At 42.2% G+C, this 21,456-nt stretch overlaps 2 pseudogenes; one reads left to right on the top strand and one right to left on the bottom strand.

The window, feature by feature from the left end:
- Nucleotides 1-716: 716 nt before the first annotated feature.
- LOC107986534 (trafficking protein particle complex subunit 6A-like) lies at nt 717-1,161 on the bottom strand (annotated as a pseudogene).
- On the top strand, nt 13,505-14,664 carry HMGN2P12 (high mobility group nucleosomal binding domain 2 pseudogene 12; annotated as a pseudogene).

Here is a 21,456-nt window from a genome sequence, read left to right as displayed (position 1 = left end):
CCTCAAGCCCCTAATTTGAAATTTTTATATTTTTGAGACAGGATCTTGCCTTGTCACTTAGGCTGGAGTGCAGTGGCATAATCACAGCTCACTGCAGCCTCAACCCCCTGGGCTCATGCAGTCCTCCGACCTTCACCATGTTGGCCAGGCTGGTCTTGAACTCCTGACATCAGCTGATCCAACGGCCGCAGCCTCCCAAAATACTGGGATTACAGGCCTGAGGCACCTTGCCATGCCTATTTTCTAATTTGTTAATTAATGTCTTTTCAATTTGGTAATCATATTTTAAATTTCCTAGAGCTATTTCTTGTTTTCAGAGTGTTCTTTTTCCACAAAATTGTGTTCTTGTTTTATGGATGAATTACATTTCTTGCTTCTCTGAGGATATGTATAATAATGTTTTGAAATTTTTTTTCCATACGTAGAACCTTTAGTGAGCATCCGCCATGCAGAGTAATGTGCCCAATGTGGGACTCCTCCACTCCAGTCCCAACTCCAGCTGGCATCTCCTTGCTTCCCATGGTGCTCCCACCTCTTTTTGATACTCACTTCCCTAACACATGTGACCCCTAGAGGCTGGGATCCCCAGGACCAGCCCGAAAACCACCCCCAAAAGCAGCAGGCCCAGGGTCCCTGGGCAAAAGGATCTTCTGTCTCCAGAGGGGTTGAGGGCCAGAAGCAGCTGTGAGGCTCACTGGGGTGGAGAACTGGGGTCCTCAGGATTTCCATATTATCACTGGGAACTTACAGGTGGTCAGGGATGCCACAGAGGCAGTGACCAAACTCTCCATGCCCAGGGTACTGAGGGTGCCATGCAGGAGGCCACAAGTGAATCCAGGCCCCAGATCATCGGGATGAGGAGTGGAAGCTGTTGTCCTGCAAAAAGTAGGTCCCTTGGTGATTGGTGCACAAGCTGTCCATCTATTGGAACACAGCCACCCACAGATTTTTGCATATGAACTTGAGGACACCCAGCTCCTCCCTGAGACGAGCATCTTCAGGGGCAGTCTCTCGCCTAGAACCTGGCTCACACAGAAATCCATGCTCTCCAGGATCAACAGGCTTATCTTCTGTCCCGCCATGGACAGGGTTGGGTTTGTGATCCCACAGCTCTGCTTCCATCTCCATGTGTAGAAACTCGAACCGTGCAGCATCCACCATGTGTCAGCCTCATGCCCTTAATTTGAAATTTTTATATATTTTTGAGACAGGATCTTGCCTTGTCACTTAGGCTGGAGTGCAGTGGCATAATCACAGCTCACTGCAGCCTCAACCCCCTGTGCTCAAGCAATCCTCCCACCTCAGCCTCCCAAGTAGCTGGGACTACAGGTATGCGCCATCATGACTGGTGGAAATTTTTTAAAAAAATTTTGTAGAGATGGAGTCTCACTGTGTTGCCCAGGCCAGTCTTGAACTCCTGAGCTCAAGCAATCCTTCCACCTTAGCCTCCCAAAGTGCTAGAATTATGGGTGTGAGCCACCACAGCTAGCCAATGCTTTTTTAAAATTAATAAATATGCCCCGTGTTATCTGTTTTCTCTAAGATCCTTTAATTCTATTTCTTTGTTTTGCTCTTTGTCTTCCTGTTAGTGGTTCTCCTCAAATGTCTGATAATTCTTGGACAGCCAAGACACAAGTACTCAAAAAGCTGATCAGAGGTTCTAAGTGTTTGTCAGAGAGGGGAGGAAAGAACTGATTGACTGGTGGGATTCACTGTAGAGAGAGAAGCCAGCAAACGAACATTTTTTTTTTTGAGCAAATGTCAGTGTCTGTAGGTGTTTTTCTTGACTTGGTCAGTTTCCACAGAAAGGTACCCTCTCATTTTCTCCCTGGGAGTATATGTCTGGCTGTCAACATTTTGATTGCCAGAGGGGAAAGAGGGTTGGAAGACTCATTCGAAACTCCAACTTTCATTAAATCCTCATTTCCCTATAGTCCCTTACCCATACCTTTGCGTACCTGTACCTGCCCTGCTTAAACCTTTTATGTCCCAACCCTGAAGAGATTAATAGACCTTTCCCTTTTTGCCAGAGTTCGGGAGTAGAGGTTGCCTAGCCTGGCATGGGAAGCAGTGAGAGTGTCCAGGGGACCTCACTGCTCCTTACACAGACTTTCTACACTCCCTTTTCTTTTCTCAGCCCTGCGGAACTCCAGCATTCAAAGTTGGCTCCTTCCCCTACCTCAGGGAATCTTTTTGGTCTGAGGTGAGGATAACTCTTCCTTATTTATCCTATAACCACCCAAATCTCTTATCTGTTCATTCCCTTCCTTCAAAGCCTCGGCCTTTGAAATTCAAAAGCTGAGGAGCTTTACCTCTTTTCTCTGCCTTCTGCCCTCATACTCCTTACATAATGATCTGCATGACTGACTGGGACCAAAAGTCAAATGGTAAGAGAATACTTGGAAAAAAAATATCAGTTAAGACTTCAAAAAATATTGTCCTACTGCGCTATTATTATACAGTACTGTCTCAGTTCTGACAGCTATAACAAACATATCATAGACTGGGTGTTAAACAACAGAAATTTATTTCTTTCAGTTCTGGAGGCTAGGAAGTTCAGGATTAAGGTGTGGACAGATTCAGTTCCTGGCCTGATGTGCGGACAGCTGTCTTTTTGCTGTGTCCTCACCTGACAGAGAGAGAACATAAATCTCAGATCCCTTCTTATAAGGTCACTAATTCCATTCACGTGGGCTCCACCCTCATAACTTAATTATCTTCCAAAGGCCTTACTTCCAAATACCACTACATTGGGGATTAGAGCTTCAAGATATGAATTTGGGAGGTGGATACCAACATTCAGTCTGTATCAAGTACCTACTAGATGAGGTCACTGTCAGGTACCTCAATTACATTTTCTATTCAGTCTTCTCAACAACCCATTCTGTAGATGAAAACTGATGTTCAGAGAAGTTCAATAACTTGCCCAAAGTCACACAGTCAGTATGTCACAGAGCAGGGATTTGGTATCTGATTTAACACCAAGCTGATGTCCTTTCCACAGTAGCAAGTGGCCTCCTGTGAGTTCATAATAAACCTTTGAAAGTAGCAACCGGAATCTAGGATTTCTTCTTTTGTTTGACTAGATAACAAAAGGAATTTTGATTATGATTCTTCAAGAGTACTTACTTATTATGTCTCCTTTCATTGGTTGTCAAGTTTTACCATACATCATCTAGTTTTCTAGGTTATTTAGAGACCAGCACATGCATTTCACCAAATCAAACATATTTAAGGAAGCAAGTATTTGTGTTATTCAGCAGTATCTGTATTTACTATCCAAACATCTGGCAATTAACTTTCAGTGCTGACACAACTTCCAACAAATTACAGAGCATTTACAACAGTGTACTGTATGACACAGAATTCCTGGTTTTAGTGAGATTCTCCTAAATACCTGGTAACTGAACCAAACCTCTCAGAAGCCACCATTGGTGGAGGTGGGTTCTGTCCCTCAAAGATCCCTTAGATACCTTAAGATTTAGCACAAGGCCAGTCAGTTTCTAGCCATGTTCATTTCTTCATCAGATGCTCAGAATCAGGAAGAGGGACAGAAGGGGGAAGGACTAATCCATTATTAGATTTAAAAGGAAGCCACAGAAGCCAACACAGATACAAGTGTTGTTGGCTGTCTGTGAGGTCTTCCCTGGCTTAGTGAGACTGCATTATTTTCAGCTCTGCTGCAAGAACTACTGCCTTCTCCAGCTCTGCCGGCACCTCTCCCCATTTGAGTCTTTACCAAGAGTCTATCTGATCTACTAAGAAGTGATAGTTTGGAATAGGTATAAGCTAGAGGTGAATCCATTAGCTAGAGTGATTATCCAGACTCAAGGAAAACTGTAAGTACGAAAGTTTGCTATGAGGCCCTCTTAGCTTTCCCTTCAGGATTCATCTTGCTATCTCTCTTTCATTTACCACTTTTGGGTGGCTGTCTAATGTTGATGTCCCATAAGAATTCTTTCCACCAGATCTTCCTCTCACTAAGTTCAGATGAACAGTAATATGTAATTAAGGTGCAATGTTTCAACAAGCAAGTCTCCAGAGCCAAAAGGAGACTCTAAAATAGTGGCATTTCAGGCATCACAATAGGAAAAGAGCTGGGTAACTTCAATTCATATTTGCTCTGACCTCAACTGAGAGTTGGGATAATAAACAAAGGTAAGTTCCAAAAAATTCAGAACATCCCCTGAGTCCGCTAGGATGGCCCTCCAAAATCTCCTTAAAGTCTCTGCAAATTTAAAGCCCTAACTCCATGTCTTCTAAAACACTGAATTTTTCCGGTGTCTCTGGTTAGGAGTGGTCACATGACCTGAGAAAGCCAACACATCCTTCTGCAGTGGGTAAATGGCTCCCTCAGTTCAGATCTGTTGGATCAGCTGCCAGGTCAGCACCCTCTCACTGGAGAAGCAGGAACTCCATGGGTTTTGCTGCTTAGTTGAGAAAAAAAAAACAGGCTCTCCTTCTGTTGTGAAAAATTTCAATCTGCAAAGACATGTGTTCCTAAAATGACTAATCATTCAGGGTTTCAATTGCTGCTATTGTTTATTAGAATTTTGTTTAATTTAGTGCTGTTATAGGTAATCATTTTGCTACTGCTCACCTTTCACTACTGAATATTTCATTTTTTTAGGCATGTGATAAAAATTCAGCAATGATAAGATTTGTGTGGGGTGCCTGAATAAATAATTAGGTTTATGCATTTTTTTGTGGCTAATTCTGTTGCAGTTATGTTATGTATGTGTTGATGCATGACCTATTTAGTTTTGGTTTGACCGGGGATTTACTGCAACTGTGGGTGACTCCATGTTACACATAAACGTGTCTTTGTTGGCTCCTTCCATCTCCTTCCTCTCTTCATGTTTCTCTCTCTTTTTTTTTTTTTTTTTTTGAGACAGAGTCTTGCTCTGTCACCCAGGCTAGAGTGCAGTGGCATGATCTCGGCTCACTGCAACCTCCTTCTCCCAGGTTCAAGCAATTCTCCTGCCTCAGCCTCTCAAGTAGCTAGGATCACAGGCGTGCACCACCATGCCCGGCTAATTTTTGTTTTTGTTTTTTTTGAGATGGAGTCTTGCTCTGTCACCCAGGCTGGAGTGCAGTGGCGCGATCTCGGCTCACTGCAACCTCCGCCTCCCGGGTTCAAGCAATTCTCCCGCCTCAGCTTCCCAAGTAGCTGGGACTACAGGTGCATGCTGCCATGCCCAGCTAATTTTTTGTATTTTAGTAGAGATGGAGTCTCACTGTGTTGCCCAGGCTGGTCATGAACTCCTGAGCTCAGGCAATCTGCCTGCCTCGGCCTCCCAAAGTGCTGGGATTACAGGCGTGAGCCACCGTGCCCAGTCATTTTTGTATTTTTTTTTTTTAGTAGAGACGGGGTTTTACCATGTTGGCCAGGCTGGTCTTGAACTCCTGACCTTGTGATCTGCCCACCTCGGCCTCCCAAAGTGCTGGGATTACAGGCGTCAGCCACCGTGCCCGGCCCATGTTTCTCTTATATGTCTTTGGTTTTAACTCCACCCAGAAGACTCCCACTTCTATATCTGCATACCTGACCTGACTGCTGGTTTCTTGCTGTGTGCTGGGCACTTCCTCCCACAGGCTCAGTGGTAGCTAGCTCAAACACGGACTTCCCCTTCATCTCCACAAACTCTTCATTTCCCCAAGCCGGCAGCTCCTCCTTCCTATTGCTTTCCGTCTGCTCCTGCCCTCTGCCCTGCAATTTACCCAGTTCGGGGCTTCCTCACCGGCAAAGTCTTCCTGGGCCAACCCACCTGGCAAGGACCTCCTGTGAGATGGGACCCGGGATACAGGGTTAGGCAGGGACATTTGGGATTTCAACTGTGCCCTGGTTAATTATGGGACTGTGGCAATTTTCTTTCCCTCTATGAACCTTTGTTTTCAGTGAGACTGTCCTGATCTACCCCATGGAGTAGTTGATGGGATTATGTAAACATTTATGTGAAGCTTTTGAAATGTTTGCCTCCATTCCTACTCTTCACCAGAGTTCTTCAAAGTGGGGTGTGAGCATGGGGCCCCCAACACTTCCTTGGAGCACGGTAAGAAGATATTAAAATATCTATTTATATTTATCTAAAAATATAAATTCTGCTTTGCTAATATTCTGCTTTGCTAATTTGCTTTGCTAATATTCAGTGTTTGTTTTGACTCCTGGCACTCACCCCTGTGAGCTGTACTAGGTAATATGATCCTCATATTATCTAGTACATAATATGAACCTCATATTGTCTAGTACGTAATATGATCCTCATATTATCTGGCACAACTGAGGGCCATGGTGCCTGTGTCAGGTGTGCTGTTGGAGAGGCCTCAACTCACAGGGGGATGGGCGGCACCCTCCTGTAGCCCCTCAGTGCATTTTGACCACTTATAGCTGATGTGAGCCCAGTTTAGTGGATTTAGGGGTTATGCTTTCTCATTTAACGAAAACATCCACCTGATCCATGGAATAGTGGCTGCGAAGAAACTGTGGTTGAAAATAGAACTAAGAATGCAAGCTCAGGAAAGCACGGGAGTGGCCAAGGGGTCCCCTCTTCTAATCTTGTCTGAGCTCTTTTTCAGTCCATGTCTTCCTGAGACATAACTTCCTATAATTCAAGAAACAACTTGGGAGCTAGTTCGGTCCCACCAAAATAATTGGCCAATGATCTTTCTGTATAGGATGTTATTTTAAAGGAATTCCACTATTTTCTATTTCAGAGATTGACTTTATCTTCCATCTCCCCAATTCTGGGTCTCTCTCCTGCTGGTTCACAGGTGTGACATTGTGTAGTGTGACATTGTGTCACAGGTGTGACATTGTGACATTGTGCTTTCTTTTTTTTTTGTTTTTTGAAACAGAGTCTTGCTGTTGTTGCCCAGGCTGGAGTGCAATGGCATGATCTCAGCTCACTGCAACCTTTGCCTTCCAGGTTCAAGCAATTCTCCTGCCTCAGCCTCCTGAGTAGCGGGGATTACAGGCTCATGCCACCACACCCGGCTAATTTTTGTATTTTTAGTAGAGACAGGGTTTCACCACATTGGCCAGGGTGGTCTTGAACTCCTGACCTCAGGTGATCTGCCCACTTCAGCCTCCCAAAGTGCTGGGATTACAGGCATGAGCCACCGCACCTGGCCTAATATAATTTCTATAGAGTGCATGACATGGGCACAATGGTCATAAGTTAACATATTTTTAAATTAGACTAAACATTATATTTTAAAAATTATTAAAGTAGTATATATTCAATATAGAAAATGTGGTTACTATAGAAGAAGAAAGTAAAAACTAAAATCATAGCACTTGGGATAGCAGCTGACAGCTGACATTCCTTTTTGTGCATATCTATTTCTTTTTGTCAAAAATAGATTGTATTGGACACCCTATTCTGTAAACCACTTAAAATTTTTTATGTAGTAATCCATCCAAGGATTAGCTAAATTAAAGCTACTGCAAAATTGTCTGAAAACAACTGAAAGGCTAAAAATATCTCCTTAATCCAAATTTTATGCTCATATTTTCTTTTATTAATTTTCTTAATCTTTTGCTCTTTTCATGGATAAGAAATTAATGTTATTTATTTGTCTTATGTTCCTTCAGAATTCTCAGCCTGGCAATCAACTTCTGGGAAAGAGTTCAGATTTTTTTTTTTTTTTTAGTCTTTTTTTTGAGACAGTGTCTTACTTTGTCACCTAGGCTAAAGTGCAGTTGGACCATCACAGCTCACTACAGCCTCGATCTCCTGGGCTCAAGCAATCCTCCCAGCTCAGCCTCCTGAGTAGCTGGGACTATAGGTACACACCACCACATCCAGCTAATTTTTAAAATTTTTCGTTAGAGATGGGATCTCACTATGTTGCCCAGGCTGGTTGTGAACTCTTGCACTCAAATGATCCTCCTTGCCTCAGTCTCCCAAAGTGCTGAGATTATAGGCATGAACCACTACACCTAGCCAGATTTCAGAGTCTTTTGCAACCTCAGTAATCTCTGTTTTATGTAAGAGGCAAGAAGCCCTGCCAGGTAGAGAGAATAATGATAGCTATTGCTCACTCTGCTGTTCTGCTGCAAGCTTCTCCTGCTTTGCTTTTCCTTTTCCATTGACTTCTAATAATATGAGTGATTCAGACCACAGACTGGACATGTCCAAAACAAGGGAGAGAAAAAAAAAAGAGGAGAGGGAGAGTAGGGAGTCCTGATGAAATAGCCCATGTAGGGTGATGCAGCATGCTCATGTATTGAGGCAGAAGAAAAACAATTCTTTTTTTTTTTTGAGACAGAGTTTTGCTCTTGTTACCTAGGCTGGAGTGCAATGGCCCAATCTCTGCTCACTGCAACCTCCACCTCCCGGGTTCAAGTGATTCTACTGCCTCAGCCTCCTGAGTAGCTGGGATTACAGGCATGTGCCACCATGCCTGGCTAATTTTGTATTTTTAGTAGAGACGGGGTTTCTCCATTTTGGCCAGGCTGGTCTCGAACTCCTGACCTCAGGTGATCCGCCAGCCTCGGCCTCTCAAAGTGCTGGGATTACAGGCGTGAGCCACCATGCCTGGCTGAAAAGCAGTTCTTTTAAGTGAAGACTCACACTGCAAAGGTAACTGCAACCTTGTTCCCTTTTGCTTAATAGTGATTTTTTTCATGTATATGAACCATATCTCAATTATTATGCTTTTGAGAGGGCAAAGACTATGTCCTTTTCATCCTTTTGATCCCCATATTATCTAGTACAATGTTTTTTACTAAGTAAACACTCACTAAACATTTGTTGTTTGTGATGACAATTATGATAATAGGGTAGCATGCACAATAAAATAAGGAATCTCCACAAAAAAAGCAGTTTTAGCTAATTCACAGATGACATGATTGACTAGAATGAAAACTCAAAAGAATCAACAGACATTTATTGGAGCTGATAGGAAAATACAGCCAGTTTGCTGGGTTTATATGGAATATCCAAAAGTCAGTTGATTTTTTATAGTTTTATGGGTTGAATGGTGGTTCCCAAAAGATATGTCTACATCCGAACCCCCAGAACATGTAAATATACTTATATAGTAAAAGAGAGTGGATATTACCTTTTATGACAAAAAAAGGTATTTAAGGGTTTTTTTTGTTTTTTTTTTTTTTTTTGAGACAGGGACTCACTTTGTCACCCAGGCTGGAGTGCAGTGGCACCATCTCCACTCACTGTAATCTCCACCTTTCAGGCTCAAGCGATTCTCTAGTCCCAGCCCCCCAAGTAGCTGGGACTATAGGCATGAGCCACTGTGCCTGGCTAATTTTTGTATTTGTTTTTTTGTAGAGATAGAGTTTCTACGTGTTGCCCAGGCTGGTCTCGAACTCCTGAGCTCAAACAATCCTCTTGCCTCAGCCTCCCAAAGTGCTAGGATTACAGGTGTGAGCTACCACATCTGGCAAGTTTTTTTGAGAGGAGAAACTTGTCTTAGATTATCCAGATAAGTCCCAAGTCCAGTGACAAGGGAGAAGCAGAGGGAAATTAGACACACACAGGAGAACACCATGTGGAGACAGAGGCAGAGGCTGAAATGATGCAGCCACAGCCTAAGCAGAAATGCCAGGGCAGGCCGGGTGCAGTGGCTTACACCTGTAATCCCTGAACTTTGGGAGGCCGAGGTGGGCGGATCTCCTGAGGCCAGGAGTTCGAGACCAGCCTGGTCAACATGGTGAAACCCCATCTCTACTAAAAATACAACAACAAAAATTCGCCAGGCATGGTGGCGGGTGCCTGTAATCCCAGCTACTTCGGAGGCTGAGGCAGGAGAATCGCTTGAACCCGGGAGGCGGAGGCTGCAGTGAACCGAGACTGTACCATTGTACTCCAGCCTGGGCGACAGTGCAAGACTCTGTCTCAAAGGAAAAAAAAAAGAAATGCCAAGACAGCTACCAGCAGCTGGAAGAGGCGAAGAAGAATTTTCCCTTAGAGCCCCTGGAGAGAGCATGGCCCTGCTGGATTTTGTATTTTTAGCCTCTGTAACTGTGAGAGAATAAATTTCTGTAGTTTGTTATTGCAGGCTCAGAAAACTAATATAAGAGTGTCCAGAAGAACAGAGTGCTGCGATTAAGAACGTGTGCTCTGGAGCCAGAGTTCCTTTGTCAGAATCTCCACTCCACCAGTTACTAGCTGAGTAATGTAAGGCACACTAGGTAACAGCACACGGCCTGCCGTGAATCTAGAGCATATAGACCTGTGAGTGGTATATTGTGAACATGGAACACATGCTAGTTATTTTTATCATCACCCTCATTACTACCATTATTATTATCACCAGCACAATTAGAAAGTGCAGCGTGAGGCCGGGCACAGTGGCTCATGTTTGTAATCCCAGCACTTTGAAAGGTGGAGGTGGGAGGATCGCTTGAGCCCAGGGATTCAAGACCAGCCTTGGCAATATGTTGACACCTGTCTCTACAAAAAATTTAAAAATTGGCCAGATATGGTGGCATGTGCCTGTAGTCCCAGCTACTTGGAAGGCTGAGGCGGGAGGATTGCTTGAGCCCAGGAGGTCGAGGCTGCAGTGAGTCATGTTTGTATTACTATCTGTATTTACCACTATCTGTATTTTGTAATAATAATTCCCCTGCTGTTCTTAACAATTTAATCACATGTTGTTCAGTTTTTGCCTGCTTATAAAGGGTACATATTTGTCTCTGACTTTTTTTTCTTTTTTATGAGACAGAGTTTCACTCTGTTGCCCAGGCTGGAGTGCAGTGGCACAATCGTGGCTCACTGCAACTCCTGCCTCCCGGGTTCAAGCAATTCTCATGCCTCAGCCTCCCGAGTAGCCAGGACTACAGGTGCCCGCCACCACGCCCAGCTAATTTTTGTACTTTTAGTAGAGACGGGGTTTCACCATGTTGGCTAGGCTGGTCTTGAACTCCTGACCTCAAGTAATCCATCTGAGCCAGCCTCCCAAAGTGCTGGGATTACAGGTGTGAGTCACCGTGCCCGGCCAATCTTCCAGTTATTTTTTATTTATGTATTTATTTTTTTGAGATGGAGTCTCACTCTGTCACCAGGCTGGAGTGCAGTGGCGAGATCTCGGCTCACTGCAACCTCCACCTCCCCAGTTCAAGCGATTCTCCTGCCTCAGCCTCCCGAGTAGCTGGGACTACAGGCACGTGCCACCATACTGAGCTAATTTTTTTGTATTTTTAATAGAGACAGGGTTTCACCATGTTGGCCAGGATGGTCTCTAAATGCTTACTGAATTGAGAAAGGAAATTTATATACATGTGTTGAGAAGTGTTTTCAGAAAATGCATCCCTAAAAAATCCATCCTTTGAGTGACTTACATTGCATTTATGATTTTTAACAAACTGTTAATCAACAAACACTTTTTTTTTTTTTTGAGACAGAGTTTTGCTCTTGTTGCCTAGGCTGAAGTGCAATGATGCGATCTCGGCTCACCACAACCTCCACCTCCCAGGTTCAAGCGATCCTCCTGCCTCAGCCTCCCGAGTAGCTGGGATTACAGGCATGCACCATGACGCCCAGCTAATTTTGTATTTTTTAGTAGAGATGGGGTTTTTCCATGTTGGTCAGGCTGGTCTCGAACTCCCGAACTCACGTGATCTGCCCACCTCAGCCTCCCAAAATGCTGGGATTACAGGCGTGAGCCACCATGCCCAGCCAACAAACACTTTTTAAAAAATACATAGTATCTCAACAAAATCATCCATAGAAGATGAAGTTAGTAAGCCAGTGAAGCCAAAATCAGAGTTTAAAAACAATATATATGCAAGTGTCTTCTCAGCAGAGCACTGTACGAGATGGTGAAGAGGAGATGGTGCGACTGATACACCCTGATTCTGGATGTTTGCATCTCTAACTAGCTCAACTTTTTTTTTTTTTTTTTTTTTTGGAGATGAAGTCTCAAAGTCTTACTCTGTCACCTAGGCTGGAATGCTTGGCACAGTCTTGGCTCACTGCATCCTCCGCCTCTCAGGTTCAAGCAATTCTCCTGCCTCAGCCTGCTGAGTAGTTGGGACTACAGGCACGCGTCATCACATCTGCTAATTTTTGTATTTTTAGTAGAGACGGGGTTTCACCATGTTGGCCAGGCTGGTCTTGAACTCCTGACCTCAAGTGATCTGCCCGCCTTGGCCTCCAAAAGTGTTGGGATTACAGGCGTGAGACACCACACCTGGCCAAACTAGCTCAATTGTTAGCTCTATTACAAGTAGGAGAAGGAATAGTAAAGGCCCTATGAAGCAACTAAAGAAACAGGAACATATGCTCTCAGATGGGAGGAGGGAAATTCAACGGCCATGCTGAAATACGAAAAGTGGAAGAGGCCGGGCATGGTGGCTCACACCTGTAACCCAGCACTTTGGGAGGCCAAGGCACGAGGATCACGTGAGGTCGGGAGTTGGAGACCAGCCTGACCAACATGGAGAAACCCTGTCTCTACTAAAAATACAAAATTACCTGGGCGTCATGGCACATGCCTGTAATCCCAGCTACTTGGGAGGCTGAGGCAGGAGGATCACTTGAACCTGGGAGGTGGAGGTTGTGGTGAGCCGAGATTGCACCATTGCACTCCAGCCTGGGCAACAAGAGTGAAACTGCGTCTCAAAAAAGAAAAAAAAAAAAAAAAAGTGTAATCATAAATGCAATGTAAGTCACTTAAAGGATGGATTTTTTAGGGATGCATTTTCTGAAAACACTTCCCAATACATGTATATAAATTTCCTTTCTCAATTCAGTAAGCATTTATGGAATACGTACCATATGCCCACGAATGTCAAGGGTGAGGATGTTCCAGGGAATGAGTGTTTTACAGTTAAAGAGTCATCAGTTTGAGACTATTGCTGTTTTCATTAAGAAGGCTCTTATAGGTGACTTTTTGTATCTGATTTTTAAGAGTAACAAGGTAAATGTGAAAAAAGTTCTTATTAAGTTTTCATGATCATCAGGTTAGGTTTCTACCATAAAGTAGTATGTTTATATTGTTTGGACACTATAAACAGCCTTTTTTTTTGAGACGGAGTCTCGCTGTGCCACCCAGGCTGGAGTGCAGTGGTGCAATCTTGGCTCACTGCAAACTCCGCCTCCCAGGTTCAAGCGATTCTCCTGTCTCAGCCTCCTGAGTAGCTGGGTTCACAGGCAGCCACCATCACGGTTGGCTAATTTTTGTATTTTTTAGTAGAGACAGGGTTTCACCATGTTGGCCAGACTGGTCTCAAACTCCTGACCTCAGATGATCTGCCCAGCTCAGCCTCCCAAAGTGCTGGGATTACAGGGGTGAGCCGCCACACCCAGCCTATAAACAGCTTTTTAAGTTAGTGTGCTTTTAAAAAATTAAAAATAGATGGTTAATGAAGAAACAAAAACTTCAATTAATCAGAAGTGTGGGTACAAATGTTTGACTGACATGCCTATTTCATTTCAATTTAGACTTCTTCAATTTTTGACTAGAGTGTTTGCTTATAGGAAGAGCCTTATCGCTGAGTCTTTTTTCAAGTGTAAAAAAATGTCCCACATTGGGAGAAGAAAAAGAGGCTAGAACGACCCCTGGACTGACCAAAGCCCTGCGTCCAGCGCCTATGTCGTGCCGCTGTCGCCGCCACCACCATGCCCAAGAGAAAGGCTGAAGGGGATGCTAAAGGGGATAAAGCCAAAGGGAAGGATGAACCACAGGGAAGATCTGCGAGGTTGTCTGCTAAACCTGCTCCTCCAAAGCCAGAGCCCAAGCCTAAAAAGGCCCCTGCAAAGAAGGGAGAGAAGGTACCCAAAGGGAAAAAGGGGAAAGTTGATGCTGGCAAGGAGGGGAATAGCCCTGCAGAAAATGGAGATGCCAAAACAGACCAGGCACAGAAAGCTGAAGGTGCTGGAGATGCCAAGCGAAGTGTGTGGATTTTTGATAACTGTACGTATGGTGACTGTACAGTTTGAAATACTATTTTTATCAAGTTTTATAAAAATGCAGAATTTTGTTTTACCTTTTTTTGAAGTTATGTTGTTAGCATACAGACCACCTCATTGTTGTTTTTTGGGGAAGGGGCATATGTCACTAATAGAATGTCTCTGCAGCTGGATTGATGTGGGGGAAACACCTTTCCCTTCTAGTTTTGAGAAACTTCCTCTTGGCTCCCAGGAGGAGGGATTCCCTGACTTTGACACACAAGGCCTCTTTGCACAAAAGCCTCATGGTATGGAAAAACAAATTCGTTTGTATGTCCTCTTCGACCTTTCCATCTTTCAGCATATACTTAACTCCCTTAAGCCCAGACATCTGTTGGGACCTGACCTCCAATCATTGGTTACCAGTGTGTCAGGCAATCTGGACTTTCCAGTGATGCCACTGAGATGGCACCTGTCAAAAGGAGCAGTGGTTCCATTTCTAGATTGTGGATCTTCAGATAAATTCTGCCATTTTCATTTCACTTTCTGAAAGTCAGGGTTGGCTTGTGAAAAGTTGTTAAAAACAAGCTAAATGTGAACTGTCAACCCTCACTCTAAGCTTTCCCTGTTCAGAGCATCAGATGAAGACTTCATTGGGTTTTATAGTGGCTTTCCAATTTTTGGTAGTCCATTGAAGAAGAGAGTTTGAAAGTTGTATACGTTAATGATTGTCTGCCCTGTCCTGCCTGAAATACCATGATTGTTTATGGAAAGTATCTTTAATAAAGCTGGATACAGTTTGGCTTGGGAAAAAAGAGTTCCACATCAATATAACTGGGAACACAATGAATAATCATTAAGAACTACAACAAGCATTTATGTGTGACATATGGACTTTCTAACTTCAAAGCAGTTGCAATTAAAGACATGTTTAACATGACCATTAAAATGAAAATAGATCATTAGATTCTAGATTGAAGGATGGAGAAATAAGTAGAGTGAAATCTAAGCTAATGTTTTACCCTGACTTATGTATAAATTTCTCTGTAAGCTTCCTCGTAGTCAAGCTATGACAGCATAGGTTATAGGTTATAAACTATAGAATTCTCATTATTTGCAAACAGAGAGATAAGTTCCTTGGGATAAAATATTTTAAGTTTTAAAAATATTTAATTTAAAAAATTATCATGTAGTTAATTATACAAGAAACATTGAGCCACATATTTAACCATGGTTTCTGAAAGATAGAGAAATATCATTCATGTAGAAAATTTATATATTTTTCTTCAACAAAAACCTAGACTGTAGTATTTAGATTTTACAGAGTAAGGTTTTTTTTTGTTTTGTTTAGTTTTGTTTTTTGGGGGGGATGGGAGGTGGAGATTGTATTAGTGAGGATCCTTTTAGAAAAGAGAAGGTAATTCGAGTTGATAAAGGGGCTCTTTACAAAGATGTATGTAGGATGCAGGGAAACCATAAGGAATTGTGCAGTTCTGCGGGGCTGGTAACAAGGGATACTGCTACTCTCCTAGGCTTGAAAGGGATAAAGAGAAGATCCCATCACCAGAAGAGAACTTGGAGACCGAGACTGAGCAGAGAAGGCTCTTGGACAGGAGTAGTGACTTTTAGTCAAGAGATGAATCCAGCCTGTGGTACCCCCACAGAAAGCCAAGGAAATAAATACCTTTAACTTTCCACCTACTCCCTCTGATCTCTTGCTGGTGCTTTTCATTGGCTGAATTCAACTAGAAGCTAAGGGCAGGCACAGGGAGTCTGGTGGTGCTTGTTAGCCTTCTGGTGCAGAGAAAGGATGAAGAAAGGACATATGGAAGCTATCAAGCCAGGAGGACATATTGGAAATTGGGGAGCTTTATAGAGTTCACCCTTGCCCCATTTTGATAAGCCTCTCTGGGTAGAGCAGAAAGGGACTTGCCCTCCTGCCTTTCCCACTCAGACTTTGGCGGAGAACCACTGCAGTGTAATGACAGATGGTCATTCTGTTAGCTGCGTGTAAGGAAAAAAATGTTGAGAACCAATGATCTGTAAGAAAGGACAATACCATTTTCCTTAAATGTTTCTTTTTCTCAAATGGATTTACACTGGAGCTAAGTCAACCAGCTCTGGAATAGAGAAATTTAATAGAATGTGAAGACAGTCCTTAAGCTTAGAATATCAGATGGGTTATGAGTCAGTGCCCAGGCAGAATTAGATAACCCTTGGGGGGAATAGATTCCCTTCCCCATGACCTGGGGGTAGATCTCACCCTATGTGAAGGCAGATACACTAACAGGGGCCTCTGAGGACCATGTCTGGTGACCTGACATCTGGATGTTGCTTTGATTGCTCATAGATAAGTGCACCCCAAGCTCAGACAACTTGAAACCTATGCATCCCTATAGCAGCAATAATTATAATGACAGCCAGGCCTAAAAAGCCAACTGCATTGCCAATGAAGCCATTTAAAATATTGAAAGATACATTCTAAAACTTATGAAATCTCTGGCCTAATCTCCAATATTATATGTTCTCTCCAATTTGAAAATCCACCCTTTAAAAAAATAAAAACAAAACCAAGTATAAAAATGTAACTACAGGTTTCTTTAATTTGTTTTTTTGTTTGTTTTGTTTTTTGGCACACAGTCTTTCTCTGTTGCCCAGGCTGGAGTGCAGTGGTGCAATCTCGGCTCACTGTAACCTCCACCTCCTGGGTTCAAGCGATTCTCCTGCCTCAGCCTCCCGAGTAGCTGGGGCTACAGGCATGCTCCACCATGCCCACCTAATTCTCATGTTTTTAGTAGTGTTGGGGTTTTGTCATGTTGCTCAGGCTGGTCTCGAACGCCTGACCTCAGGTGATCCACCCACCTCAGCCTCCCAAAGTGATGGGATTACAGGCGTGACTGCCATGCCTGGCCCACAGTTATATTTTTATACTTAAACTTTATATAAATCCAAATGTTTCTTTTTTTACACCAAAATATAAATATTTTTCAAACTTAATCACGTGAATGGAAGATTGTTTGGTTCCAGCGCAGCACTGAGGAGTAAATGGAATTTATTGAATTCACATTCTATATTATCTTCTTGTGCTGCTAGGGAAAGAAGTGACAGGTTGAAAAAGTTATTAACTTCTCGTGTGTATTAAAACAACACTTGAAGGCAACTGACTTTAGATAAGACAAAATAATCAGTATAGCCTGTGATGTTACTTTAGTTTAAATCCAGTCTGCCCTGAAGCCCAAACAGAGATAAAGAGCAAGAGTAGGATGAATGTTTTCATTGAAGTCCTAACTTCAAATATTGTGAGGGTCTCAGGAGGTTATCCAGTCTATTTCCAGCCTTTGGCAGGATTACAGTTAAACCGGCTCAGGCAGATGGCAATCCATCTTATTTCTAAAATTGTCCACTCAAGGAATTCCACATAACTCTTTCCATGGTCCTTTTTATAACCGTATTTTTCTTTAAATCCTCAGGGGATATATGCATATAACAAATGGAAAGCATAAAGCAAAGTACATATGACCCTCTTCCCATCATGAAGGGGGCAGATTTATCTGTTAGTATCTATGATGATTTGTAAACAATACCAATCCTAGACCAATCTCTCTTCTTTATCCAACCTCACAAATATTCTGCCTCTCTAAGTAGCCCTTGTCCCTTTGCCCCTCTTGTTTCCGTTTGTTTCCTCCTTTCTCACCTGGTTCAGAATGCCTAGGAGAGTTTGTATAAGATTCTTAATGCCCTAGGAATAGGAAAAGCAATCATGCCTCAGGCCATAGGCCTGTTGTCAGCACCACGGACAGCGGCTCATCAGGCTTGGCAAGCATTGTACAGAGGTATAACTTGCCAGTAGAGAATGTTGATGACCTTTTTAATATCTTTGAAAGTCTTCATCAGTTCATTCCCCTTCTCTTCTTAGCCTTCTATTTTATTGAGGTGGATGACGTTAAGACTTCAACTTTTTGGTGCAGGCAGAGGAGCCCACATCTCAGTAGTCTGTGAGAAGGAGGGGCTCAGGCTGACAGGAGGCAAACTCATCTAGGCCTGCTGAAGTTAATTCATCACTTGGCTCTAGGGTTCAGGGAACAAAATACAGAAGGCAAAGAAGAACAATGGAATCAGCAAGAGAGGTAACTCCTCTCTTCTCTTGCAGATGCCTCAATTAAATCTATTTCACAAAGGGTTAGTGGCCCTGAAAATATGCAATTATGCCATTCTTCACATCCCCTATTTTACTGGTTAGAAAACATTTGTTGTGACTTTATATCCATTAAAAATTAGCTATTCAGTCTTGGCTATGTCACCTAAGATCTCTGTCTAATCTTGGAGAAAATGGAGAAAATTTCACAATACTTCTCAAAATTTTAAATGCACATATTTTTTTGACCCTACAACTCCAACACAGAAATGATCCAACAGGCTGGTATGGTGGCCCACACCTGTAATCTCAGAACTTTGGGAGGCCAAGGTGGCAGGATCACTTGAGACAAGCCTGGGCAACATAGCAATACCCCATCTCTACAAAAAACTTTTAAAAATTAGCTGGGCATGGTGGCACATGCCTGCGGTTCCACCTACTCAAGAGGCTGAGGTGGAAGGATTTCTTGAGCCCAGGGGTTTGGTGCTGCAGTGAGCTATGATCACACAACTGCACTCCAGCCTGGATGACAAAGTGAGACCCTGCCTCTGAAAAGAAAAAAATTCCATCAATATAAGACTGTTTAAATAAAGTATAAGTTTATGCAATCAAATATTAAGGAGCCATAAAAAAGTGGAAATTCACTATATACTCATATGAAAGATCTCCAGGATATATTACGTTTAAAAAAGCTGGGTTCAGAACAAGGACTATATTAAGATATTACATAAAAAGAAGAAAAATCATGTATAGCCATCTGTACTAAGCGTACAATATCTCCAGGAGGATATATATTAGAAATAAGAAATAGAAGTTTCTTCTAGGAAGGGAAATTGGGTGGATAGAGGTGAGAAGTGGAGGGGAGTTTTTTTCAGCATACACCTTTATGTACTTTTGGAATTTTGAATAATGTGAATTCGTCAACTATATAAAAATGAATAAATAAATTTAAATAAAATGAAATAAATTATCTGTGACTCAGTTTCTTTCTCTGTGAAATGGATATAGTCTGGATATAGTCATATCCATTTGGATATAGTCTGGATATAGTCATATGCATTTGATTGTCCTGAGAATCAAATAGAATAGTGTATGTAAAGGTGTTTTGAAAAATATGTGTTCTTCATATACGATGTTTACTGCTAGTATTTTAGTAATGTATGGACACTTTAAGTTCTCCATATGCTTCCTCCTGAATTTTGGAGTTTAGAACTGGACATAACTCTGAAATAATGATAATAAAAAGTAAATTAAATATTTGGGAGGTATTTTAGAGTTTTTCACTGTAGCGTGGCTATGATATAAAAATAACTTTATCCTGCACTTCCTTTTGCGGTCTTTTCCTTCATGCAGTTAGAATAATTTTTGCCTTTTAATAATGGGTACTTTTCAGCTGCCTCAAAGAAAGGTGAAGCATGCTCAAGCTGACTGGAAGGGCTTAATGAGATTATTCAGTAACTTGTGGAAAACTGCAGTGTACAAGAAAAGGGAAAACAGCTGGATCATTAAAATGCTCGTGTAACCCACTGTGACACTGGAAAGGGAAATCCTTTGTTGGATATGTAGAAGGAAGAAACACTATACTTTCTGGGAAAAAAGTTTTGGCGGTCTTGTTACAACATATTTAAAAAGTAATTTTAAAAAGCCAGTTTAGAAGGGTTTCTTGTCAGTCCTAAAAGACAGAAGGAGATTTGAAAGGTGGTAGTACCCCTAAAGGGATGTGTTTTTAAAAAAGGAACTCCAGTTTCCCACATTCCAAGGGGTCCCCTGAGGCCATCCTACACCTCATTAAATACATGAACAAGCATGAGACTTGGAACCTCTGTAGAGACTTCTGGCCTAGCCTGGCAGAGAAAATGATGAGAGATTTGTGGGTTGTATGAAGTGGATCACGGTATAATATAAAACCAAAACAAATCACCTCAGGCCCTACCAAGGGAGAAGACTATTAAAAGAGGAAAATAAACCCACCATCTCAGTTCATTTTTTTTCTCCTAAGGAATATTTTTTTTCTCCACACATTTATGCCAAGAGAATCCAATTTATTTTCAGAATGTCTTCTCCTTTTCCCTTCTTTCTCTTCCTCCCTGAGCTATTCCTCCTTCCTTTTTCTTTCTTCCTTCTTCTCCTCCATTCTTTTTCTTTCTCTTTTTCCTTCTCTTTTTCCTCCTCCTCTTCTCCTTGTTCTTCTTCTGTATTAGGAGTTAGCAAACTTTTCCTGTAAAGAGCCAGAAAGTTAAATATTTCAGGATTTGCAGGCCAAACTGTCTCTTGCAACTACTCAACTCTGCCCCATGTAGTGCAAAAGCAGCCCTAACAAGACATAACCAAATGGGCAAAGCTATGTTCCAGTAACACTTTGTGTATAAACACAAGCTGTGGGTCAAATTTGTCCCTCATAACATAGTTTATCTGCCCTTGTTCTATGTTATAATAGTTTAAATAAAGTTCACAGTGTAGCAGGACAAGCTGCAGACAAAACCCCTCAGACACCGAGTTAAACAAGGAAGGGCTTTATTTGGCCGGGAGCTTCGGCAACACTCACGTCTCCAAAAACCGAGCTCCCCGAGTGAGCAATTCCTGTCCCTCTTAAGGGCTTACAACTCTAAGGGGGTCTGCGTGAGAGGGTCGTAATCGATTGAGCAAGCAGGGGGTACGTGACCGGGGGCTGCATGCACCGGTAATCAGAACGGAACAGAACGGGACAGGGATTTTCACAATGCTTTTCCTTACAATGTCTGGAATCTATAGATAACATAACCGGTTAGGTCAGGGGTCAATCTTTAACCAGGCTCAGGGCACGGCGCCAGGCTGTCTCCCTGTGGATTTCATTTCTGCCTTTTAGTTTTTACTTCTTTTTTCTTTGGAGGCAGAAATTGGGCATAAGACAATATGAGGGGTGGCCTCTTCCCTTAACAGAAGAGATATAATAATCACTAACTGTTTAGGACAACAGAGTTAGCTCTCTGGAAGAAAATACGTTTGTACCATACCTCACACTTCTTTAAAAAGCTCAAAGGTGATAAAAAAAAAAAGAGTAAATAATAATAAGACTAGAAAAGAACATAGAAAATCATTTAAATACTTCAAAATAGGGCAAAAATCTCTTAAAATTATTTTAAAATGATAGATTCAACCACATGAAAATGTTTGTATAAAGCTACTATCAGATAAGTCGGGAGACAAATGACAAGCTGGAAAAAATATCTGCAACTCATGTCACAGATAATAGAATAACCTCCTTAACATATCGATTTCTATGAATCAATAAGAAAAGTAAAGTAAACAAGCACTCAGAAGAAAGGTGGGACAATGCTCTGTCTAGAATTCACAGAAAAGGAAATGCAAATTGCTGTTAAATATTTTAAAGGAAATGTTCTACATCATTCATAATAAGAGACACACGAATTTATACTTAAATGCCATTTTCACACATCAGATAGGCAAAAATCCAGATATTTGATA

Source organism: Homo sapiens, chromosome 6 (assembly GCF_000001405.40).
Source record: "Homo sapiens chromosome 6, GRCh38.p14 Primary Assembly".
Classification (NCBI taxonomy): Eukaryota; Metazoa; Chordata; class Mammalia; order Primates; family Hominidae; genus Homo; species Homo sapiens.
Note: the sequence above shows the minus strand (reverse complement) of the source record. Positions and strands in the feature narration are given on the sequence as shown.